General features: G+C 47.7%; 1 protein-coding gene, 1 long non-coding RNA gene, 1 other non-coding gene and 1 pseudogene across 10 annotated transcripts in view, besides 6 other annotated features; 1 reads left to right on the top strand and 3 right to left on the bottom strand.

Moving 5' to 3' along the window:
- Window positions 1–5,863, bottom strand: part of PPIEL (peptidylprolyl isomerase E like (pseudogene)) — a 37,419-nt pseudogene extending 31,556 nt beyond the window's left edge. For 3 of the 5 annotated variants that reach the window (NR_144354.1, NR_144357.1, NR_144356.1), the window contains exons 1-4: window positions 5,799–5,863; window positions 5,381–5,530; window positions 2,764–2,903; window positions 514–557 (exon numbers count right to left, since the gene is read on the bottom strand). The product of NR_144354.1 is annotated as a peptidylprolyl isomerase E like (pseudogene), transcript variant 2 (transcript). Of the gene's footprint in view, window positions 1–513; window positions 558–2,298; window positions 2,367–2,763; window positions 3,309–5,380; window positions 5,531–5,798 lie in introns of all 5 variants that reach the window. The other 2 variants (NR_144355.1, NR_003929.2) reach the window with 2 other exon arrangements.
- Window positions 5,864–6,980: 1,117 nt separating this feature from the next.
- PABPC4 (poly(A) binding protein cytoplasmic 4) lies at window positions 6,981–22,955 on the bottom strand. Of its 3 annotated transcripts, none has more exons than NM_003819.4 (16): window positions 21,924–22,955; window positions 18,558–18,751; window positions 17,399–17,514; window positions 16,028–16,167; window positions 15,760–15,854; window positions 14,967–15,104; window positions 13,916–14,011; window positions 11,271–11,543; window positions 10,851–10,938; window positions 10,636–10,707; window positions 10,001–10,087; window positions 9,779–9,906; window positions 8,488–8,581; window positions 8,238–8,368; window positions 7,850–7,952; window positions 6,981–7,287 (listed from the first exon to the last, which is right to left on the bottom strand). In NM_003819.4, exons 1-15 carry the CDS (start codon window positions 22,114–22,116, stop codon window positions 7,863–7,865), a joined length of 1,935 nt encoding a protein of 644 aa, NP_003810.1. In that variant the 5' UTR covers window positions 22,117–22,955; the 3' UTR covers window positions 6,981–7,287; window positions 7,850–7,862. The 3 variants fall into 3 exon arrangements, with proteins under 3 accessions (NP_003810.1, NP_001129125.1, NP_001129126.1); NM_001135653.2 differs by having other exon boundaries at window positions 10,588–10,707; NM_001135654.2 differs by lacking the exon at window positions 10,001–10,087 and having other exon boundaries at window positions 10,588–10,707.
- PABPC4-AS1 (PABPC4 antisense RNA 1) lies at window positions 11,235–19,368 on the top strand. Its single transcript, NR_125979.1, has 4 exons — window positions 11,235–11,384; window positions 16,645–16,788; window positions 18,620–18,843; window positions 19,246–19,368. It is a non-coding gene; the product is annotated as a PABPC4 antisense RNA 1 (long non-coding RNA).
- SNORA55 (small nucleolar RNA, H/ACA box 55) lies at window positions 13,539–13,675 on the bottom strand. The gene has a single exon (NR_002983.1). It is a non-coding gene; the product is annotated as a small nucleolar RNA, H/ACA box 55 (small nucleolar RNA).
- Window positions 16,760–17,261: an enhancer, noted in NCBI's record as "H3K4me1 hESC enhancer chr1:40036267-40036768 (GRCh37/hg19 assembly coordinates)". NCBI's record gives its function as "activates a minimal SCP1, AML or CMV promoter by ChIP-STARR-seq in primed H9 embryonic stem cells {active_cell/tissue: H9 hESC(primed)}" and the evidence as "EXISTENCE:reporter gene assay evidence [ECO:0000049][PMID:30033119]".
- Window positions 17,262–17,761: an enhancer, noted in NCBI's record as "H3K4me1 hESC enhancer chr1:40036769-40037268 (GRCh37/hg19 assembly coordinates)". NCBI's record gives its function as "activates a minimal SCP1, AML or CMV promoter by ChIP-STARR-seq in primed H9 embryonic stem cells {active_cell/tissue: H9 hESC(primed)}" and the evidence as "EXISTENCE:reporter gene assay evidence [ECO:0000049][PMID:30033119]".
- Window positions 21,640–21,759: an enhancer, noted in NCBI's record as "active region_812". NCBI's record gives its function as "activates an Ori minimal core promoter by ATAC-STARR-seq in GM12878 lymphoblastoid cells {active_cell/tissue: GM12878}" and the evidence as "EXISTENCE:reporter gene assay evidence [ECO:0000049][PMID:35858748]".
- Window positions 21,780–21,829: an enhancer, noted in NCBI's record as "active region_813". NCBI's record gives its function as "activates an Ori minimal core promoter by ATAC-STARR-seq in GM12878 lymphoblastoid cells {active_cell/tissue: GM12878}" and the evidence as "EXISTENCE:reporter gene assay evidence [ECO:0000049][PMID:35858748]".
- Window positions 22,330–22,399: an enhancer, noted in NCBI's record as "active region_814". NCBI's record gives its function as "activates an Ori minimal core promoter by ATAC-STARR-seq in GM12878 lymphoblastoid cells {active_cell/tissue: GM12878}" and the evidence as "EXISTENCE:reporter gene assay evidence [ECO:0000049][PMID:35858748]".
- Window positions 22,900–23,209: a silencer, noted in NCBI's record as "silent region_703". NCBI's record gives its function as "represses an Ori minimal core promoter by ATAC-STARR-seq in GM12878 lymphoblastoid cells {active_cell/tissue: GM12878}" and the evidence as "EXISTENCE:reporter gene assay evidence [ECO:0000049][PMID:35858748]".

Genomic DNA, 23,583 nt, shown 5'->3' on the forward strand with positions numbered 1-23,583 from the left:
AATCACACCACTGCACTCCAGCTTGGGTGATAGAGTGAGACCTTGTCTCAAAAAAAAAAAAAAAAAAAAGAAGTAGGGCCTTCACAGATGTAATTAGTTAAGAAAAGGTCATACTGAATTGTTATGGACCCTAAATCCAATGACTGAATGACTGGTATCTTTATAAGAGAAGACAGAAACACATACAAGGAAGAAAGCCATGTGAAGACAGGCAGAGACTAGAGTGATACTACAAGCCAAGGAATTGTGAGGAACCACTAGAAGCCAGGAAGGCAAGTAAAGAGTCTTCCTGAGAGCCTTCAGAGGAGCATGGCCCTGCCAACACCTTGATTTTGGACCTCTAGTCTCCAGAATTGTGAGATAATAAATTTCTGTTGTTTTAAGCCACCCAAATGTATGATAATTTGTTACAACAGCCCAAGGAAACTACCACATCCATCCAAACAGACTGACACCTTTGGTAATCAATGACAAGAGTGACACTAGTCAAATATTAAAAGGAAAACTTCTTACCTCTGCCAACTCAAATTCAACAAAAGAGAATCCTTGGTGCTTTTCTGCAAAAGCAGAAATGGGTTGTTAATATGTGAGCAATAGGAGGAAACACGCCATATCCAGATGTCATTTACAAAATGAAAGTCAAATTTTTAGATTTTTCTTGGTTTATTCAGCAACGCATCCAGAAATATTAGTCATTTCATTTTAAATAAATATACATAAACAATGAACTAATTTTAAACTTTGTACAATTCAGGCTGACTGCAGTGGCTCACATCTGTAATCCCAGCACTTTGGGAGGCTGAGGCAGGCAGATCACCTGAGGTCTGGAGTTTGAGATCAGCCTGGCCAACATGGTAAAACCTTGTCTCTACTAAAAATACAAAAATTAGCTGGGTGCAGTGGCACACGCCTGTAGTCCTAGCTACTTGAAACGCTGAGGCAGGAGACTCGCTTGAATCCAGGAGGTGGAGGCTGCAGTGAGCCTCGATTGCACCTTTGCACTCCAGCCTGGGTGACAAAGCAAGACTCCATCTCAAAAATAATTAATTAATTAACTAATTAAAATAAAATACAGTTGTACCACTATAGAATGTAAACCTGAAGTTGCTTTCCAAGCATTTTGATGACCTTTGTTTATAAAACTTACAGAAATAGAAAAAGTTGTTTAACAATCATTAATTCCTATCAGGCTTTAACTGTGTATAGAGCATTCACCTTACCGCTGGGTCAGGAGACTACTAAAGAAGGGAGCATCATAGTCTTTGTTCCCAGGAAAAACTTATTTTAGCTGGGAGAGACCAAGAGTAGTAGGAATTACTACTTCATAAAACTCAGGGATAGGCTGGGCACAGTGGCTCACACCTGTAATCCTAGCACTTTGAGGAGGGTGGACTGCCTGAGCTCAGGAGTTTGAGACCAGCCCGGGCAACATGGTGAAACCTCATCTCTACTAAAATACAAAAAATTAGCTGGGCGTGGCAGTGTGTGCCTGTAGTCCCAGCTATTCGGGAGGCTGAGGTAGGAGAACTGCTTGAACCCAGGAGGCAGAGGTTGCAGTGAGCCGAGATCGCGCCACTGCACTCCAGCTTAGGCAACAGAAAGAGACTCCGTCTCCATTAAAAAAAAAAAAAAAATCAGGGATAGAAGGGCTCCTGAATGCATTAGTCTTACTGTTGTAAGATATGAAGAGGCCAGGTGCAGTGGCTCACACCAGTAATCACAGCACTTTGGGAGGCTGAGGCAAGAAGACCACTTGAGCTATGATCAATGACACTGCAATCCAGCCTGGGTAGCAGAGCGAGACCCCATCTCTAAAAAAAAAATATAGGTCAGGCGCAGTGGTTTATGCCTGTAATCCCAGCACTTTGAGAGTCCAAGGCAGGCGGATCACGAGGCCAGGAGTTCAAGACCAGCCTGGCCAACATAGTGAAACCCCATCTCTACTAAAAATACAAAAAAAAACTAGTTGGGCATGGTGGCAGGCGCCTGTAGTCCCAGCTCCTGAGGCAGGACAATCGCTTGAACCCAGGAGGCAGAGGCTGCAGTGAGCCAAGATCACGCCATTGCACTCCAGCCTGGGTGACAAAGCAAGACTCCATCTCAAAAATAAATAAATTAATTAACTAATTAAAATAAAATAAAATTCAGTTGTACCACTATAGAACGTAAAACCTGAAGTTGCTTTCCAAGCACTTTGATGACCTTTGTTTATAAAACTTACAGAAATAGAAAAAGTTGTTGGTCTAACAATTATTAATTCCAAAAAAGCTTTAATTGTGTATAGAGCATTGATCTTACCATTGGGTCAGGTGACTACTAAAGAAGGGAGCATCATAGTCTTCGTTCCCAGGAAAAACTTATTTTAGCTGGGAGAGACCAAGAGTAGTAGGAATTACTACTTTATAAAACTCAGGGATAGGCTGGGTGCGGTGGCTCACACCTGTAATCCTAGCACTTTGAGGCAGGCGGACTGCCTGAGCTCAGGAGTTTGAGACCAGCCTGGGCAACATGGTGAAACCCCGTCTCTACTAAAATACAAAAAATTAGCTGGGCATGGCGGTGTGTGCCTGTAGTCCCAGCTATTCGGGAGGCTGAGGTAGGAGAACTGCTTGAACTCAGGAGGCGGAGGTTGCAGTGAGCCGAGATCGCGCCACTGCACTCCAGCCTGGGTGACACAGACAGACTCTGTCTCCATAAAAAAAAACAAAAACAAAAACAAAAAAAACTCAGGGATAGAAGGGCTCCTGAACCCGCTAGTCTTACCGTTGTAAGATATGAAGAGGCCAGGTGCAGTGGCTCACACCTGTAATCACAGCACTTTGGGAGGCTGAGGCAGGAAGACCGCTTGAGCTATGATCAATGACACTGCAATCCAGCCTGGATGACAGAGCAAGACCCCGTCTCTAAAAAAAAAAAAAAAGCTGGCACAGCAGCTTACATCTGTAATCCCAGCACTTTGGGAGGCCAAGGCAGGCGGATCACGAGGTCAGGAGTTCAAGACCAGCCTGGCCAACATAGTGAAACCCCGTCTCTACTAAAAATACAAAAAAATTAGTTGGGGGTGGTGGCAGGCACCTGTAGTCCCAGCTACTTGGGAGGCTGAGGCAGGAGAATCGCTTGAACCCAGAAGGCAGAGGTTGCAGTGAGCCAAGATCGCTCCACTGCACTCCAGCCTGGGTGACAGAGTGAGACTCCATCTCAAAAAAAAAAAAAAAAAAGAAAAAAAAAATGATTTGAAGAACTGAAGGCTCAGTGAGTTTGTGTCCACACAGAAAGTCAGTAGCAGAACTGGGTCTAAAATTCCTAACCTAGAAAATAAAAACAAAAGATCAAATAGAAACTTGCACTGTAATTGTGATACCAATTGAAGAAAAACTTAACCAGGTAAGCAGAGGCCAAGGCTTCACTGCTGAGGCTGAGCTTCCCTGCTACACTCTGCTATTTAACAGCACAGCCGCCAGGAAGGGAGTTCGGGTGGGCAGATAAGGTAGAGTACACCTAACCAGCAGGTGATGTGAAACAAGAACCAAACGTTAAAATTTTTTTTCTAAGAGCTAGGCGCGGTGGCTCACGCCTGCAATCCCAGCACTTTGGGAGGAAGAGGCGGGCGGATCACGAGGTCAGGAGATCGAGACCATCCTGGCTAACACACGGTGAAACCCCGTCTCTACTAAAAATCCAAAAAACTAGCCGGGCGTGGTGGCAGGCTCCTGTAGTCCCAGCTACTCGGGAGGCTGAGGCAGGAGAATGGCGTGAACCCGGGAGGCGGAGCTTGCAGTGAGCTGAGATCGCGCCACTGCACTCCAGCCTGGGTGACAGAATGAGACTCCATCTCAAAAAAAAAAAAAATTTTATTCTAAGACTACCCTCCTGATTCTTACTATACACTTTTTTTTTGAGACGGAGTCTCTTTCTGTCACCCAGGCTGGAGTGCAGTGGCGCGATCTCGGCTCACTGCAAGCTCCGCCTCCCGGGTTCACGCCATTCTCCTGCCTCAGCCTCCCGATTAGCTGGGACTATAGGAGCCTGCCACCACGCCCGGCTAATTTTTTGGATTTTTAGTAGAGATGGGGTTTCACCGTCTTAGCCAGGATGGTCTCGATCTCCTGACCTCGTGATCCGCCCGCCTCTGCCTCCCAAAGTGCTGGGATTGCAGGCGTGAGCCACCGCGCCTGGCCTTTTTACTATACACTTTTTATATTAAATGATGAGAAATCAAAGCCCCCAAATGGTTCCAACTTAAAGTCTAACCTCAAATCCAACAGATTTTTTTTTTTTTTTTTTTTTTTTTTTTTTTGAGACGGAGTCTGGCTCTGTCACTCAGGTTGGAGTGCAGTGGCGCGATCTCAGCTCACTGCAAGCTCCGCCTCCCGGGTTCACTCCATTCTCCTGCCTCAGCCTCCCAAGTAGCTGGGACTACAGGCGCCCGCCACTACGCCCGGCTAATTTTTTGCATTTTTAGTAGAGACGGGGTTTCACTGTGTTAGCCAGGATGGTCTCGATCTCCTGACTTCGTGATCCGCCCGCCTCGGCCTCCCAAAGTGCTGCGATTACAGGTGTGAGCCACCGCGCCCAGCCAGATTGTTAATTTTTGTAAATTTCAACCCATAGCCACACCATCATCCTAGCTCTGCTGTCCTCAGAACCTTCCTATTCCATCTCCAAGATCACCACCATGCTGACCTAGAGAGACATCCCCCTGAAATTCATTATATACCAGCCATACACAGAATGCTCATGACTTAAAATTTTTTCCTATTTTCCTGGCATCAGGAATCTTAAGAGGGACTTTTCAGTGTCACCTGTTTCATAATACAGCAGAATCAGAATATCTGTGATGTTTCCAAAAGGAATAAAAGTAGCACAAAGAACTGTCCTTCACCCCCTTTGCAGATACCAAGAGCATTCTGAATCAATGTCTCCACACTTTTGGTGCAGTTGCTCCAACACCTTGTTAACATGAGCACAGGGAGGAGAGGAAGGGAGGGGTCCCAATACTCTTCTGGGTATAACAAAACCACTTGTGAGATACACTCCTCTCCCTATCCCTCTTCTGACCTACATTTTTTGCCCTGGTTTATGGTGACAATTTCCTGAATGGGATCGCCTTCTTTTTCTCTCCTCCGTTATCCCAAGAAAATACAAATACGATTATATTACTCTTCTGGTTGGTATTCTTCAAAAGCAGTCCAATGGCCAACGGAGAAAAATCCACATTTCTTAGTATAGCATATACTAAGTATGGCCAGACTCTGGGTTTTGACTCTCGCTGCTTGTCTCCATTCAGGCAACAGCCTGGCTCCCACCTTGGCTGCTTGGTTAACTTTGCATCTTTCAAACCCATCTCTGGACTCAGAGCATCCCGAAAGTTTACCCTCACCTCTCCGGATGGGGCGGTCATTCCCCAGTCTGGTTTCAACATCACCGTCCATCATACAATCGCCATCACAGCATTCACCAACTCGTGCAGTGAGGCTGTTCTCGTAATTTCCCAGCTATTCTGGGACCTCCTTCCTCTAATGGACCAGAGCTGTGGAGTTTGTGGAACGAACGAATGAGGGCTGACGTCACGGTAGCAGATCGCAACCACCACTCTGGGTCCAGGGTCAGAAGGGGTAGGGAAAAGGGATCTGGGCAGCTCTAGCAGGCACCACTCACAGGTCGAGAGCGTGAAGCACCACAAGAGACCTGGCCCAGGATGCGTAGGGCCATGGGTCCGCACCCCGCCCACTCTGCCCACCCCCAGCTCAATCTTGGCACTGCCTGCGAGGACCCTGCCTTGCTCCACACCACCCTACCCTTTGTGAACCCTCTCGGCGGCCGCCATCTTGCTTCCAGCGCTTCCGCCGGAAGCCCGCACCGTGCCCCACCCCATCCGGCACCAGATTAAGGAAAGAAGGGGCCGTCCGGAAACAAGGACATCTCCTTTAGATCTGTTAAGGTGACACCAGATTTTTTTTTTTTTTTTTTTGAGACGGAGTCTCGCTCTGTCGCCCAGGCTGGAGTGCAGTGGCGCGATCTCGGCTCACTGCTAGCTCCGCCTCCCAGGTTCACGCCATTCTCCTGCCTCAGCCTCCCAAGAAGTTGTAACTACAGGTGCCCGCCACCACGCCCGGCTAATTTTTTTTGTATTTTTAGTAGAGACGGGGTTTCACCGTGTTAGCCAGGATGGTCTCGATCTCCTGACCTTGTGATCCGCCCGCCTCGGCATCCCAAAGTGCTGGGATTACAGGCGTTAGCCACTGTGCCCAGCCGAGGTGACACCAGATCTAAAGGAGCCTGCCAAGAGGGATGAGCATTCTAAGGACTGCCTGGATGGGGCACTAAGGAAGCACCAAGCAAGCTCCAGGAGGGAAAGCAGGCAAGGCTGGAGCCGCAGGGAAAGTAGGCTGCAAAGGGATGTGATCTTGGCCTTTAGGATGTCATTTTACTGTCACTTTGAACATCAAAGAAACCACAAGCACTGAAGACTTCAGCACCATTTGCTATAGTCACAGACCTCCCATTTTCCCTGCTAGGGGAAAACTTGGTTGCAGAATCTGGGGAACTGGATCCGCTGACTCGAATGCAGCATAAACTGACTGCAGGAAATAAGAGGGGACAGGACACACCCCAACCGAGTTCAGGAAGGGAAGGACGGGGCTCAACTAACCAACTGGGATCTGCAGATCTCACCGTATGTCCTTGGGGTGTGCGCCAACCCCACTCTGCCCCAGATTTTCCTGGGCCAGACCCATGGTCTGCTCTGACCACATCAGATCTCTGTTCCCTCTAAGTTAAATGGGGCTAATGTAACAATCATACTGTAACAGAACAGTGTGGGACAGGATCATATTTAACAGTTCTGTGTATCTTGCTAATCTTTGTCAGCTTCAAGTCAAGAAAGAATAAACTATCACTGGAACCAATTCACATCCTAAAGTTACTTCCAGTGAAAACCGGAATTCATAGAGTAAAACTGTGGTCAGAGACAGAGGCAGTTTTATGGAGATTTTTTTTCTTTATTGGGAAACGTAAGACTTGGGTACATCAAATAAAACCAATTTCTGGGGGAAAAAATCAAAACCCACAATAAAAAAAAAGTTAACACTGTCTGGGCCACAGCAGAACCCAAAGAACATATTCGTATAATTGAAAAATTCTAGGTGCTTCATAATTGACCTTTTGATACAAAATGACCTATTAAATTTGCAATTTGTAATCCTTGGTGTTGAGGTCCATAGGACAAGCTAGGAAGTCTTCAAACCTTGAGTTGAATTCCATAAGGGGTTATTTGGCTTTTGAATCCTGTAAAGAAAAGCACCAACACAAATAAATGCATAATCAAATAATTTAGATTCATTAACATATAGTGGATAAAGGAAGGTATTCTAGAAGAGAGTTTCTCAACCTCAGTGCTATTGACACTTTGGACATTCTGTTGGGTCTGTCCTCCTGTGTACTGTACAACATTTAGCAGCATCTCTGGTCTTTACCACTAGATGACAAGGCTCCTGAGGCCCTTGACAAGAGGGTCATGACTATGCCAAGTCAACCCTCCCAACACACCAGCTCTGGTCCTTACCATGTGCTTTTTCCTTAGCTTATTTTACTGTCTCTTCTTTCCCTATCTGGAGACACCTACAACCATCAACCAGTACTAGTTTTATTATTCACTCAAGCTCCTGCAGACAAAGTCCACAGTCCTCATGATAAGAAGTCACCTGCAACACACTCCGTGTAACTAACTGTACTTATTGTATTCCCAGAGCTAAGCAGTGAGCATATATACAACCTCAGGTCAAACCACAAAGACAATGCTCATAGGAACAATGCTCATAGGAACAAAAATGAAAATAGCCACACATACGGTTTTTCCTTGTCTAAGAGGTAGCAGCAGCAACAGCGCCCACCTTCTGGGCAGCTTCTTTCTTGGCATGATGAGCCTGTAGAACTGCTACAGCTTCATCCACCTGCGAGAAATCTTCAGGTGGTCAGTGAATCTAGGAGAGCTACTCCACCCCTCCCCAGTGCCCAGACCTAGTGGTGGACCAAAGCCAACTGTACAGATGATCCCTAGGCTTCTGGTGCTAACTACTTTCCCAAATACCCACTGCAGCCTCCAGTCACAGTCAAGGCATGACGAGAGGGGTCCTGGGGGCAGCAGATCCCACTTTCTGCTGCACCTGGGCATCCAAGTTTGCCCCCAGTCTTCCCAAGCTGAGAACTGAAGCTGCAGGGTCTGAGCCCCAGCTCACCTTGGAGCGGAGAGACTCGGGGGACTCTAACATGTGCAGCAGCTCAGAGTTGTCTATCTCCAGCAGCATTCCCGTGATCTTCCCAGCCAGATTTGAATGCATTGTTTGGATGAGTGGGAACAAGCGTTCTCCTATGGGGAGGATAGTTAATAAAAAAACAAATCAAATCCCAGTAAACAATGGACACTGGTGTCCTAGCTGGCATCAGGCTCTGGGACCCTCTTCTTCTGCAAGCAAGTGGGTCACTCACCCAGCATCTGCTTCTGTTCCTGGGGGGGTGCTGCAGCCAGCATGGAGGCAGTCAGTGGCTCCTGCCCCTGCACATGGACCGCAGGCTGGGGTGCCTGGGAACCAGGAAAGGCAGTGGGTTAGCACTGAGGAAAGGACAACACCTGATGGTGGTTGAGTGCCTGTTCAATATCTGAACATCTGACTATGTGAAAGAGGAGAGGAGGTGGCTGTCCTTGCTCTAAAGGAACTAATTTCAGTCCTTGAAGGATTGAGGGGTGTGTTGAGGAACAGAGTGGTATGGACATAAACACAACCAATTACAATGAAAATGGCATGCTATCAGAAAGCGAAGTGAAACGTAAATAATAAAACAAACCTATAGTGCTAGGCAAGCATTTTCTGACATTTCCTTAATACACCCAAAGTTACTCAAGAATGAAAAGCCTTGATATAAATAAGGGTAAACACTTGTATATAACCTTTTCCTGAAAATTAGTTTTCCTTTAGGGTAAATCTCAGTGCAGATTGGATCAAAGGGAGTAAATATCAACACATTTATAATTACATTCCACATCACCTTAATTCTACCAAATGTTTTTGTATCAAATGCTTAAAAACGGTCAACATGCAACGTCAATGCTAGTCAAAGCCTTGCAAAGAAAAGGTATTTTACATAGCATCAAGTTCTAGGAAATCCCCAACTTAGAGAGTATGAGACAGGACAGTTAAAGAGTAATCTCCTAAGCAGCTTATGGGCCTGAAGGCTTAGGGTGACACCTCCACAGCAAATTGCTATTAGGCTCTGAAACAAACTAGTTGCATCTAGAGCACAGGTCTAGAGACAGCAAGTTACAGCTTAGAAAATCTAAGCTCTAGGTTCAACCCCTTCACCTCCTACACACACTTTACATCTTTGAAGCTGAACATCCGATCTGTAAGTTGAAGTTATTTCCTGCATTAATGTACCAATCATCTTGCAGAGCAGCCAAGGATCCAATAGGTCATTGGATGCGGAAGTGACCTGGAGGCTCAAACAGCTGAATGAGCACATTATTTCGTACAAACAGAAGAGGAAGCACTGGCTGCCCGCTCTGAGGCATTTCTGAGTGAACTGGCATCAGGCAGAGCACTTTTAAGCCCCTTCTTTCCCACTAGTGAGCCCCTGAAGGGCAGGGACAGTGAATCAGAACATAGCGTCATAACACAGAGCAGGCATTTAATACCTGTTGAAGGAATCAAAAGCACAGCTTCTTTTACATCAAGTGGAAATGGGGGAAATCCTTTTAAGCATTCTGTCTGGTGAACCTCACCTGCAGAGGCTGTATGGCAGGATGAGGGCTGCGGACACTGGAGGCGTATTTGTAGGGGGCAACAGCCCGGGGAGCAGCAGCAGCAACAGCAGCGCGTGGCGCTAAGTTCTGCACAGCTGTGGGAACGCCTTAGGGAAAGAACAAATACAATTAAAGCCCATCAGTCTGGGCAAAGACCCGTCAAATCCCATCTTTCCCCCTTCTGTGTGCATCCAATACCACCTCCAGACTGGCAGCTGTCAGTCAGCCCTTGCTGGGCGGCACCAGCCCCACCAAAGTCCATAGCCAAGCGGTCCGGGCACTCAGACCCTACAACAGACCAGCAAATGCACATCAGTGTTGGCGGCAGATGTCCAACTGGCCACGTCCCACGGAAGGAGAAATTTCAAAGCACGTTTACGCAACACATTGCACAGGGGGCCACTACTACTTTCGAGGATGAGCCAAAGGATAACATACAACTCTTTCCACATCTTGGAATACAAGACATATTCTGTATACACTGTTTCCTTGTATTCCTCACCCCACCCAAAAGAACAAGCTGCCTCTGTGGTCATCCAGCTAGCAAACTTCTACAACTAACCTTTTTCACATAGGTCACCGATGAGCAAAGAATGTTAAAAGCAACTGACACACCTAGAACTCATACTGTTTCTCTGCTCCTGAAGTGGCCACCTAAGCACACAGCTAAGATTACAGAACCAGGACTCGATAAATTCGAGCCCAACAAACTGACCAACCCAGGACAGAGCCTAGTCATCCTGACTCCCTCCTCCCCAGGCCACACTTCTAAAGGCCAGTTTGCTCACCGACTCTCTGAGTGGTAGTAGGGAGGCCACGAGAGGCCGGAGCATTACCAGTTGGAGCCAGATGGCGAAGAGTTGGACGAGGCCCAGACTGGCGTATAGCACTTGGCATTCCTTGGAAGCCTGGTGAAGAGAAAAATTGCACATCATTGAGAAGTGATGTGGACCAGAACCTAGGCTGTGCCTCAGAGTGGGGAAGAAGGAAAGGCAGGGGAGACCAGGACAGGTATATCCTGGGCTGTCAATTACTGTTCCCCACCACCTACCTTGAGGTCTCCCACCTTGCTGCCAGCGTGGATTAGGCCTCATCTGTGCTAACTGGTTAGGTGTATAATATGGAGGCCTTCCCTGAGCCTGTAAGACAGAAGAATACCCAAACACCCCCTTAAGGACTGAACCCATCCTAGAGAAGTATCTCATCTCATCTCACTAACCAGGACCTAAGCTAATTATTTAAATGTTCTTTCTATTCAAGAGCTGAGGGGTCAGCTAATGGGGACTGTTTTATGCTACCACTGCCACTGTGGGTGTGTGTTTGTGACCATGGGTAAGTCCTTCATTTTTACTTGAAGGGTCCTTATTGTGACATTCTAGAACTCTAATAACGAAAAATCCCTCTCCCCAACCACTGCAGAATACTGCCAGCCGGCAGGTTCCCAAGAGCTGTGACCAAACAGCACACCCACCTGTGGGACTGCTGGCACAAAGTAGCCACCCGCTGCAGGCTGGAACTGATTTAAGATGGCATTGGCAGGAAGTGCTCTCATTCCAGCCACTCGTTGCATATACTGGTTGGTCAGGTGAGCCTTTCTCTCTTCCTTCCTCTGGGCCAGGGCAACATATAGTGGCTTGGAGCCCACAATGCGTCCATTCATCTCAGTGACTGCTTTGGTTGCTTCTTCAGGAGATGAGAAGCAGACGAAGCCAAACCCTTTGCTTCTTCCATCCTCCAGCATTACCTACAAAATGAGACCAGCTACTTAAGAAATAAGGTGTCCCTGGCTGGGTGTGATGGCTTGTGCCTGTAATCCCAGCACTTTGGAAGGCTGAGGTGGGAGGGCTGCTTGAGCTCAGGAGGTTGAGACCAGCTTGAGCAATGTAGTGAGACCTCATCTCAAAAAAACAAAGGGCCAGGCGCAGTGGCTCATGCCTGTAATCCCAGCACTTTGGGAGGCCGAGGTGGGTGGATCACGAGGTCAGGAATTCAAGACCATCCTGACCAACATGGTGCAACCCCGTCTCTACTAAAAATACAAAAATCAGCTGGGCGTGGTGGCACACACCTGTAATCCTAGCTACTCAGGAGGCTGAGGCAGGAGAACCGCTTCAACCCGGGAGACAGAGATTGCAGTGAGCCGAGATCGCGCCACTGCACTCCAGCCTGGGCGACAGAGCGAGACTCCATCTCCAAAACAAAACAAAACAAAACAAAACAAAACAAAACAAAAACACCAACCAACCAAACCAACAAAAAAAACAAAACAAACCTACAAATAGGAAAAAAAAGGATGTCCCTGGGTGGGGAGGGAACTATTCAGAAGAACCAGAAAGCCTGGGTTCTGCTGCAGTCACTGAGTCTAGGTCAGGGTTCTGGCACAGGATTTACCCCAGACCAACTAAGTCACAACCTCTAAGGTATCTAGGTGTTTTCTTTGAGTCCCCAGGTGATGCTAAAGTTCTGAAACACTATGATATGGCTAATAATAAAACCAGGAACTCAAAGATGTTTCCTGATACCTGGTGGATAGCTACTCCGGGTAACCACAAAACATCTTGAGAGTAGTACTGAGCAATTTATTTTCATATCTCATATGCTTCAAGACCTCGGTGGACAAACTCTAACAAGCTCTTACCAACGTCAGGATAACACTTTTGGAATACCACGTGTGGACAGGAGTCCTAAAATGTTCAGGTAACCAATGACTGCCACCATTAATTCAATGAGATGACCAGCTCAGAGATAGGCAGCCTAGATTCTAGTCTCACTTGCCTTCCTGAGGCTCAATTTCCAAGAAATACTCCAAACAGCTACAAAACCACAGGTCTACTGGTTCAGGCAGTCTTTTCCCACATTAAGTTCATCATTCACAAATGGCATTCTTCCTAATAGACAAGGTTATTCACTGTCTTCTCTGGTGTGACTGTCATTGTTTTATGTCTTAGTTAATGGCCCAGAGAGCCTCCTGAAGTGGAGGATAGGGAAGTAAAGAAGTGCATCACTCCATAACTCTCTACCAATGAGATGGGCCAGTAAGGTATGTGAATAAAAATGCCACACCATCATAATGAAAATGGGGACAATTCAAGGTATGGCTCTTCTGCTCTCTTAACAAATGCCAACTTGACTACTAGGCAGATAAGCAAGGATAGAAGATCACTCCTTACACTGATGAGGGCCAGTCAAGGGGGGGGTCATAGCAAAAACGAAAGGGTAAGAACTGGGCAAACCCACAGTTGGCCTCTGGCCAACTCCCTACTACAACTGATAACATTGCTTTCCACATTCCCAGGTTGGGAGCAAAGTCCACTAAGAGCCAGGGCAGGGCCACTAAGCCCTTACCAGCCCACGTGGCTTCCCTTCTCATCAACTAAAGGATTTTGTGGCATCTGGTACACCTGTTTAGCAAGACCGGCGTCTGCATCCGGCCATAACTCAAAATGTTCAGATGGCACCAGTTTCCATCCTGCTCCCAAAGTGCCAAGGACAAGCAGTACACCATCCCCATGTAGTCAGCATTCTCTTGTTCAAGGACTAAAATTCCTTATCTTTAAAATGAGGTTCCTACTTACCCTGCTAACTTAGTTGATATGATTATCAAAGAAAATCAAGCAAATGATGCACACTACGAAACATAGAAAAACCTTCCACTCCCCTTTCCTCTCTTTTTAAGACCAGGGTAGAAGTTCCCAAGCCCACCTCCAAAATCTTCAAAATACCTTCATTCTCAAGGAGAAAATGTGGCAGAGCTGTAGAGACAGGCCCCAAGACAAATGGAAAACAACCTGTCTGGATTTCCTCTGCTCATTCTGTAGCACCATCTGTCCCCACACCGGCACGAGGCAGCAAGGAATGGGAAAGATTCAGGTGCTCTGAGTTGGCAAGGAGGGGCTGGGTCAAATTCCTCTCCAGACTCCAGTGCTTGGGAAACAGTGTAATGTTAACCTAATGAAATGTCATTCTCCAGAATGCATCCAGAAATTTTGCTAGAAAAACGTAGTAGCTACTTTCAGAAATGAACATAATTTAAATGCTATTCCTTCAATGGGACAAATGCCAATAAGCCTATAATGGAATACCACTGCTTTCAATCCCCAGATCGCAGTATAATACCTTAGCACTGGTAATTGATCCAAAAGGAGAAAATTCTTTCCTTAATTTCTCATCATCAATAGTGTCATCCAAGTTCTTAATGTAGAGATTCACCCCCTGAAGGAAAAAGATCACTGTTAACTACACTTCTATATCACAAATATTCCCTAAGAAAGTGGTTCCCCAAGGGTGGCCCCAGACCAGGAGCACCAGCATCTTTGGGAACTTGTTAGAAATGAAATTCTCGGCCGGACGCGGTGGCTCACGCCTGTAATCCCAGCACTTTGGGAGGCCGAGGCGGGCGAATCACAAGGTCAGGAGATCGAGACCATCCTGGCTAACACAGTGAAACCCCGTCTCTACTAAAAATACAAAAAATTAGCCAGGCATGGTGGCGGGTGCCTGTAGTCCCAGCTACTCAGGAGGCTAAGGCAGGAGAATGGTGCGAACCCGGGAGGCGGAGTTTGCAGTGAGCCGAGATTGTGCCACTGCACTCCAACCTGGGCGACAGAGCGAGACTGTCTCAAGAAAAAAAAAAAAAAAAGAAAGAAATGAAATTCTTAGGCCAGACCCCAAACCCAATGAATAAGAAAAACTCTGGGGCTGGAGCCCAGCTATCTGTTTTAACAAGCTCTGCTGATGAATCTGATGCAAGTCCAAAGTTGTGAAACTACTGCCCTGAAACTGACAGGATCATCAGTGCACTCACCTTTTGTCACCTCTCCCCACAGCTGTTCTGGTGACCACTCACCCACCCCAGCAGGGGTCTTCTTGAAGCCATGCCAAACAAAGGAGTCTCATTTAAGTAAAAGGAACCTACATGGCTAAAAGCAACAGGCTGAGGCTTCCAAAATAGAGAGCTTCTTGATGAATAAACCCATCTCTTGTTTCTGGTTCTATAATAATCAGTCATATGTAGTAGGTATATATCCTTTTAAACCTCATCTTTTTAGGTAAAATGGGAAGAAGAACACACTCCAAGTCCTCAAAAAGAAAGCCCGCTAAACATAGGGGTGTTCTGCAAATATTTCACAGCAAATCCCATTGCTAGGCTGGGCCAAGACCACCTTACCTGATATCGACTAATTCTCTCCTGTTTCAACTGTTCAAATTTCCGTTTTAACTCTGCCTGCCGTTCTACTTTCTTTTGTGCACGGCCTACAAATATGATTTTACCACTTATTTCTTTTCCATTCATCTCTTCCACAGCCTAGAGAGGAAAAATATGTCTTTAAAATAAAGTTGCAGCGATGGGGTCTTATTCTGGAGGTCTAAGTCCCAAAAAATATTCTTTCTACTATAGGACTAAAAACTAAATTCACTCCACCTCTGAAGTCTGTCACACAAATCCAAACTTCCTCATCTGTAAAGTGAGGTTAATATTTAAATGGGTTATTGATCCAGATAATATAGAAATAGTACAGGTGTATAAACACAAGTGTGCTGACATGAGCCTAGGGCGATATAATATTCCGGCTGCCAGTAAATTCTGCAGGTGCTTTTGTGGGTATTTAAGTGATAAATATTGAGGGTCTGGCACAATGCTTTGCCCACAAGTAGCTGCCGTGCTGTTATCAAATCAGCACTCACTGGGCTTTAGTTCTCTCACCTTTGCAGCATAACAAACGTCTGTCCTATTCTTTCAACAACTGATAGCTGAGGTGACAGGTATGTGCCAAGTGCTTTGTAAACACCTACATGAAGTTAACATGCGGAACCCAGGAAGATGATCCCAGAGTATAGTAATGGTACATCTACTACCAGATACTCAGACCGTCCCAGCTCTAGGTAGGTGCTAGCAAGACCCTACCCATACTCTGGGGCAACCTCTTAAAAGCTTTTCCCAATCTTTGTGGTATACTCACCTTATTGGCATCCTCGTGTTTTTCGTAACTCACAAAGCCAAAGCCTTTGGATTTCCCATTGGGATCTCTCATCACCTTGACACTTAGGGTCTTACCTATTACCAAAGGACAGAACTATTAGTAACACCATCTTGAGCACAGCTCAGGAACAGAAGGCTTCCCTCTGGAAACTCACTTGAAGCAAATCTCTGGAGCAGTGCCCTCATCTCTTAAGAAAAAACAGATGGGTCTGGTAGACTGTGAAAGGAGACAAGGAACCCCAACTTACCAAACTGACTGAATAGCTCTTTCAGACTCTCATCATCCACCTCTTCCCCAAAGTTTTTGATATAAACATTGGTGAATTCCTTGGCTTTGGCTCCAAGCTCAGCTTCCCGCTCTTTGCGAGACTTGAATCTGCCCACAAATCTAAAATGAAACCATGAAGAACAGTAATTACCCAGAGGAATAAAACATGATGTCCAGGGACCCAAAGGAATACAGGTTAAAGACTGACAGGAGAGGTTAAAACACGAGATCCCCATCCACCACCAAGGAGGCTCAGAGATACCCCAAGTCCCCAGCAGAAAGAGAAAAAGGCAGGACTATCCTGTGAGGACCAGCCCCAGGGCTCCTGGCTTAGACCAGGGCTATTCCTACCACATCACACTGCCTTCATGAAGAAACCTGATGGCCATGTTTTTAAAATGTTCATTTCTGTGCAACTATGTAAATGCATAGAAAAGGTCTGGAAGGATACAAACCAAACTGTTAACAGTGGTTAATCCTAGATATGAGATTGTTGGAGTGAAGGGGCACCCTTTGCTTTTTAAATTTATTTATTTTGGTCTGTTATACTTAAAAGAAAATTTATCCATGCACTGACATTTTTGTATTTCTTTTTAGTGATATCTGTAGATCAACCACTGCACACACAGACATTATAAAGATAACCCATCCTCTGGCATACTGAATGACACAAAGGACAAAAATTATTTTGGCTTGTAATAGCCAAGACTTATTGTCTCTTCTTCTCCCCATATGGCTTTGGTAAGTTCCCCCTCTCTGCATTCTACAGTAACAACCACATCAAAGCAACAAGGTCTGTTATGAAGTTTTTCTGCAAAGGGATGGGATTTTTTCATTGTCACCAAGTATTACTGTGGAGCCAGCCTTGTATTAGGTCACTGAGTCATAAGTTAGAAAATGGAGAACCGCGGGGACAATTTGGCATCAACCACTAGCGAGGGACCCATGGACAGACCTGAATCACAGGAAAGCCAAGGTCACACTGCTAGTATACAGCTCCTGGTCAGTCCAGGGCCCTCTCCACTCTGCCGCTGGCCAAGACCCCGACTCAGAGTGAGCTTAGAGCTGCTTTCCAGCCAGCCCCAGTTGTTGATGCTCACAAAACCCACAGACAGATGCCTTTAAGGGAGAGGCGGCAGGCAGGCCATGGCTTGGGCAGGAAGCCCACCTTGGCGAGTCAAAAGGGCTGCCACGGCTCAGGCAGGGAGACTCACCAGCCCTGGAGTGGAGAGGTAGGAGCAGGCCACACTTGGGCCGAGAACCAGTAGCCGCCTTGTGTGTGCCAGTTAATAGCGAGGTGGGGCCACGGCTGGCTCATGCGATGGTTGTTGCTCCGGACTGGGACACTCACACTTTGCGGTCATTGAGGAGCATGCCATTCATCTTCTCGATGGCCTTGTCGGCAGCCTCTTGGGTCTCGAAGTGGACAAAGGCATAACCCTTAGAGCCGTTCTCATCACACACCACCTGTCAAAGACAAGGCGGACCACTTTAGCAGAACTGGCCAGCTCCTGAGACATGAGAACCTCAGGGTATCTTGTGCCTGAGGAGACTCTAGCCCATCCATGGCCAATGGTGGTCAAGTACACCAGTATAATTTTTCTAACACCTAGCACAGCACCAGGTGCCTAGTAAGTGTTCCATTTACAAAGGTAGCCCTACTAAGATGCTTCTATTCCAAATGTTTTATTTTTATCAAAAACAAACAAACAAAAAATACTTAAAATTGGGTGCTGTGGCTCATGCCTGTAATCCCAATGCTTTGGGAGGCCAAAGCAGGAGGATCGTTGGAGCCAGATCGTTGGACAATGGAGACCCTGTCTCTACAAAAAAGAAAAAAATTAAATGAGTGTGGTGGCACGTGCCTGTAGTTCCAGCTACTTGGGAGGCTGAGGTGGGAGGATGGCTTGAGCCCAGGAGGTCGAAGCTACAATGAGCTATTACTAGACCACTGCACTCCACCCTGGGTGACAGACAGAGCAAGACTCTGTCTCTTTAAAACACAACAACACATTTTAAGAGATCTGGGTGCAAACCACGGTGATGCAGAAAACAAAACATTTTCCAAGGCCACAACAGATTTTCAGTGTAGTATGGCATTAAACATATACACCACCACCGTTTAAGTTTTAAAGTGCTCAGCATAGAACAGATACGTAGAAGGAATAGAGTGAATTTATGCTTCTAAAGTGATTAAGTTTCCTCAAGACTAGAGACACTTCTCTGGTCCTCTACTTTCCCCCATCCCAAAAGAAAAACGTGGGCTTTCCAAAGCTAAAGAATAGGAAGGATATTTCAGGCTGAGTAAAGAACAAGGGTATGAAAGCGTGTGCTGGTTACGCTGGGTATGGCCCTGAGATTACCTATGGGAACTTTTAGGATTCCATGTCCAGCATTTTGAAAATTCCCATATCTTGTTCCCCAATTCCAAGATAGTTCTCTGTTTGGTATTTATCTTGTTTTCAAGAATCAATTAATTATTCTGCTAAAATCATTTAATCAATGTTTACCTTGCAGGACAGTATGTTTCCAAAAGCAGAAAAAGTATCATAAAGTGCCTTGTTATCTATAGATTTGTCCAGGTTCTTGATGAAGACGTTTCCCACACCAGATTTTCTCAAAGAGGGATCCCTCTGAGACCACATGATGCGGATTGGCTTTCCCTTAATCACATCAAAGTTCATGGTGTCCAAAGCCCGCTCAGCTGTAAGAGAGAAACACATTTCAATAAGGAGAGAAAACGTCAGCTCCCACAGGCCAACAGCCTAAGAACAGATTACTCCAGGACTTTTCAAGGTAATCACTCTTGATAAAAGGCAACTCTATTAAAATAAAAGGGCATCAGATTCCTCCAGCCTGCACTGTTAGTAAGGGAAGCATAAGTTCCAGCTAATGACTCTACTTCATGACAGAAGTCTAAACACCCTTCTGGGTCTGTGCCCTTGTTGGATAAAGGGGCCACAAGTAAAGATAATCTAAATGGCCTTAATGACACCAAGATCCAGTGATAATACCTCACATTTGACTAAGCTTTACCACTTAGAAGAGACTTTGCAGACTACCACCCACCATGACTCAGGTGGGACAGCTGAAATTATACATTTTACAAAATGAACAAACTTATGTTTAGGGTAACTAAGCTGTGCAGCTAGCTAGTAATTACGAAACTAATACTAGATTATCTGATTTATTTTTCAGTGAGGTATTGCATCAAAGTTATCAAGTCATTTAGTCTGCAATCCACCTATGGAGACAAGTGACAAAACCTGTAAAGCAAATGATCTGGAAAAAAAAAAAAAGGTGCTATCCCTGAATTCAGAATTCAGTCCAGTTTATTTTCAATTTCTGAGAACAGAAATTGACTTAAACAAAAAAGCATCAGTCATCAAAATGGACACAACTGATCACACATGGAAAAGTTCTCTGTACTATCACAAGGATAAAACCACCATACCTTCTGCCTAAGTAGACAGTGCGCAGATGGCAGGCCCTGCACCCACCTTTTGAAGCCTTAATGGAAGTTCTGTAGAATTCTAGGACTTCAGCTACCCTGGGTGCTCAACCAACTTCCCCATCCAACACCTTGGAATGCTTCCTTAGCTTCCCAACCAAGTCCGTGTGTACACCAGAGACAATTTAAAGAACCAAAGGCTGGGCTGGGTATGGTGGCTCACTCCTGTAATCCCAGCACTTTGGGAGGCCAAGGCGGGTGGATTACCTGAGGTCAGGAGTTCGAGACCAGCCTGACCAACATGGTGAAAACCCCATCTCTACTAAAAATACACAATTAGCTGGGCATGGTGGCGGGTGCCTGTAATCCCAGCTACTCAGGAGACTGAGGCAGGAAAATTGTTTGGACCCAGGAGTCAGAGGTTGCAGTGAGCTGAGATCGCGCCATTGCACTCCAGCCTGGGCAGCAAGAGTGAAACAGTGTCTCAAAACAAACAACAACAAAAAGAACCAAAAGCTAAAAAATAACACCACCTGCCAGCCAAAACACTTCTCATCACTAATCGCAACAAGGATGCCCAGATCTGGTGGCCACTTTTCCTTAAGGCTATGATGGCATCTCCTAACGGTGACATCACCCAGAACCTCCTCCATGAGGGGATTTAGACAGGGTCAGAGCAGTGGAACCTGCTCCTTGCCTCAGGACAACATCTCACTTAAAGGGGGGACAAAATTCCCCAACTCTGCCGCTCCACAAGCTCAACTGTTTCATTAGCCGGGAGAATTTATTTTCACTCATTATTTCCAACAACTTTCCCCACCCCCTTCAGAAGGTGGGCCTCATCTGTGTGGGGGGTAGTTGGGAAAAGGGGAGATGACAAGACCGATCCAAGTCAGGAACAGTCCAGGGAAAGAGGACTTTGCTTGTGATGGCTATCAGAGATAGATAGCTGGGATCGCAAACTATTTCATTAATTAGCAGTAAAGGAGCCCACTTCAACAACAGCTCCTCGTCTATTTCCAGACAGCACTGCACAAGGCAAGCCGGCTTAGTCTGACAAATCTGGCTGCACTTATTTATAGCAGGGAGAAGTCCTGCAGAAGTATGTGTTGGCAGACACACTGACCAATAGCTTCTGCTATCTCTAAGTGACACGACTTTTGTTCAAAAGTCAGTAAGGCAGACAACAGCTAATGTGGTACATTATCCCTTAAAAAGACCACACTCAGCTACCTTTGCGCTCCTATGGCCATGGACAGAACTCAGCTTGGAGCACACTGGATTGACAGTAGCAATACCTAGTCCCTCTCAACATGTCCAATTCTCTGGTCTCAGCCGCAACCTGGGCAGGTAGTAACTCTGGGCCTCAGACAGAAAACAAAGGGGGGACCCCAAAACTAGGGACCTGGAGATGCTTTGCCATAGAATGGCTTGTTTCTCCCAGTAATGATCTCTGCAGTTGTTCCCTTTTAATCTGGAGTCACGTGCAGCCTCTGATCAGGTTTCCTCTGGCCTCCCTCCTGCCACGCCTGCAGCATACCTCTCTCCATGCTCCACGCTAAGGCCACAATCTGAGGTGGCAGAGCACTGTGCTGGGAGTCCTAACTTGGCTTCCAACTTTTTGCATTCGTTCTCCTTCTCAGGAGTCCCATTTTCTTCAGATTAGATGAAATAAAAGGGCTCTGACTAGTGCAAAGCACTGTTACAGCTGAGGTGACAAATGACACCAGATTTTCAAGTGACGCTTCCCTAAACTACCTCCACGACACTCTACAGCACAGAGCCTGGATACCATTTGTCCAGAGTAAAGCACTTCTCCACTCCAGTGGCAAACACACAGACCAAGGAGGTGGCCTGGCACACGCAGCTTTTGTGGCACTAACCTAAGTCTCTGCGAAAGTTTAACGCACAGAAACCTTCCCCCTGCTTCCTGCCTGCCCTGACTGATCCTTTATCAGCACAACATCAGGTAGTCAAGGTTAGTAAAGGTGGCGGAGCGGGCAGGAGCTTTACAATGTAAAACTTTCGCGGGGAATTGTGTTTCAAACGTCCCGCCTTTTTGGCCAGCCTGTGAGGGGCACAAGCAAGGATCTCTAACAGCCCAGCCCCACTGACAAGGACCACACGCAGTGGAATGCCAGTGGCTTCACTCTAATCCTGTTTTACAGTCTCCTTGGTTTCCAACCCCACTACCAGCAACACTAATAAGTAGCCCAAGGTCACCCAGTTAGCAAGTGGTAGAAACAAGATTGAAACTCGAGTCATCTGATGCCAGGTCCGCGTTCTCAATCTCCGCACCCTGCTCCCAGCTTCGGTGGCAACATGCTGTCGTGATGCCGCCCTCCTCGGCAGGAGGGCCCTGCCAGAAGACGACTCCCGGGGTCCTCCGGGCTCCCACGCACGTGTGGGCACAGCTTCTACTCACCGTCGGCCGGCTGCTGGAAGTTGACGTAGGCATAGCCCAGGGAGCGGCGGGTGATCATATCGCGGCAGACCCGGATGGACAGCACAGGCCCCGCGGGGCTGAACTTTTCGTACAGCATGGCCTCGGTGACGTCCGAATGCAGGTCGCCCACGTACAGGGAGGCCATGGGGTAGCTGCTGGCCGCAGCGTTCATCTCCCCGCCCCCCACCACCCCGAGCCCCGCCAGGAGGACTTCTTATCGGGCCCGCCGCAGGACAAAGGGGCGCCTTCGGAGCCCGGGCCCGCGCCGCGGCTCACAGGTGGCACCGGCGCGGCGAGGACGAGCTGGAGTCGGCGGGCTTGGAGACGGGACGGAAACGGGAGGCGGGGGCCGGCTCCCACGGCCGCAGCACCGCAGACAAAAGGCTCTCCGCACAATACGGCCCTCCCCGCGACTTTGCACTTCTCCGCGGTCCTGGTGCGAAGCTCCAAATTTCAAAAAATCAAAGTAGGAAAAAAATTAAACGGGGAATCCCCTTCCGAAGGGTAAAAATCCTTTAAGAGGCGACCGGACGCTGCCCACGGCGGCCTCGGGGACACGCGTTTCTCTATAAATATAGGCCTCGGGCTCCGGCGGTTTAAGATTACAACCGCCGGGGCAGAGGGAAACCAAATCTTTGTGGGCGCCGACTCGGCGAGCCCCGGGCGGGCGGCGAAGGGCAGCACGGACACGTGGTGCGCCGGGGCAGGCGCGGGGCGCGGGGCTCGGGGCCCGAGCGGGGGGAGGGCACGGCGGGCCGGGCGGGCGGCTCACCCCCGGACCGACGGACGGAGACCGACGGACGCCAAGCGCTGCGGCGGCGGGCGCGGGGCAGGCCGGAAGCGTACGAAAGTGACTTCCCCGCGGGTTCTCCGAGGATTCGTTTTTTCTTTTCCTTTTTTTTTTTCAGGATTTTGAAGCGTTTTCAGATTTTTTTTATCTTTTTCTCTTTTTTTCCTCAGGCTGCGAAGCCCGAAAGCGGCGGAGGCGGCAGCGACCCGGGGCGGAGAGAGGCGGCCGAGGGAGCCACCGCTCCATTTATACCCGCCCGCCCCGGGCGCTGCTGGTCGAAGGGCGCCTCGCGACCTGGGCGCAGTCGTGCCCGCCCACTCGGCCCGGGGGCCCGAGGCGGGGCGGCCACGCGAGAGCGACCCGGCGCGGCCGCGCGGCGCTACAGCGACCCCTGGCGCCGGGAGGACCGCCCAGCTCGCGGCTGCGGGAGACCCCAGGGCCCCTTTCTATAACAAATAAATCTTAACACCCTCCCACCCATCACCCGGGAATGGAACCTAGGAGCCATTTAACCTGCACACACGCATGAGGTTTAAAATTAAATGGTATGGGGCTGGGTGCAGTGGCTCACGCCTGTAATCCCAGCACTTTGGGAGGCCGAGGCGGATGGATCATGGAGGTCAGGAGATCGAGACCATCCTGGCTAACGCGGTGAAACCCCGTCTCTACTAAAAATACAAAACATTAGCCGGGCGTGGTGGCATGCGCCTGTAGTCCTAGCTACTCGGGAGGCTGAGCAGGAGAATAGCTTGAACCCGGGAGGCGGAGGTCGCGGTGAGCCAAGATCGTGCCACTGCACTCCATCCAGCCTGGGCAACAGAGTGAGACTCCCTCTCAAAAAAAAAAAAA

The sequence above is a fragment of the Homo sapiens genome, chromosome 1, assembly GCF_000001405.40.
Source record: "Homo sapiens chromosome 1, GRCh38.p14 Primary Assembly".
Classification (NCBI taxonomy): Eukaryota; Metazoa; Chordata; class Mammalia; order Primates; family Hominidae; genus Homo; species Homo sapiens.

Coding starts and splice junctions, on each gene's coding strand:
- PABPC4 (NM_001135653.2), bottom strand. CDS start 22,116: ATGAACGCTGCGGCCAGCAGCTACCCCATGGCCTCCCTGTACGTGGGC. Junction 14,012..14,966: donor AGAGAATTAGTCGATATCAG/GTAAGGTGGTCT, acceptor TTTTTCCTTCAG/GGGGTGAATCTCTACATTAA. Junction 8,369..8,487: donor GGAACAGAAGCAGATGCTGG/GTGAGTGACCCA, acceptor TCCTCCCCATAG/GAGAACGCTTGTTCCCACTC.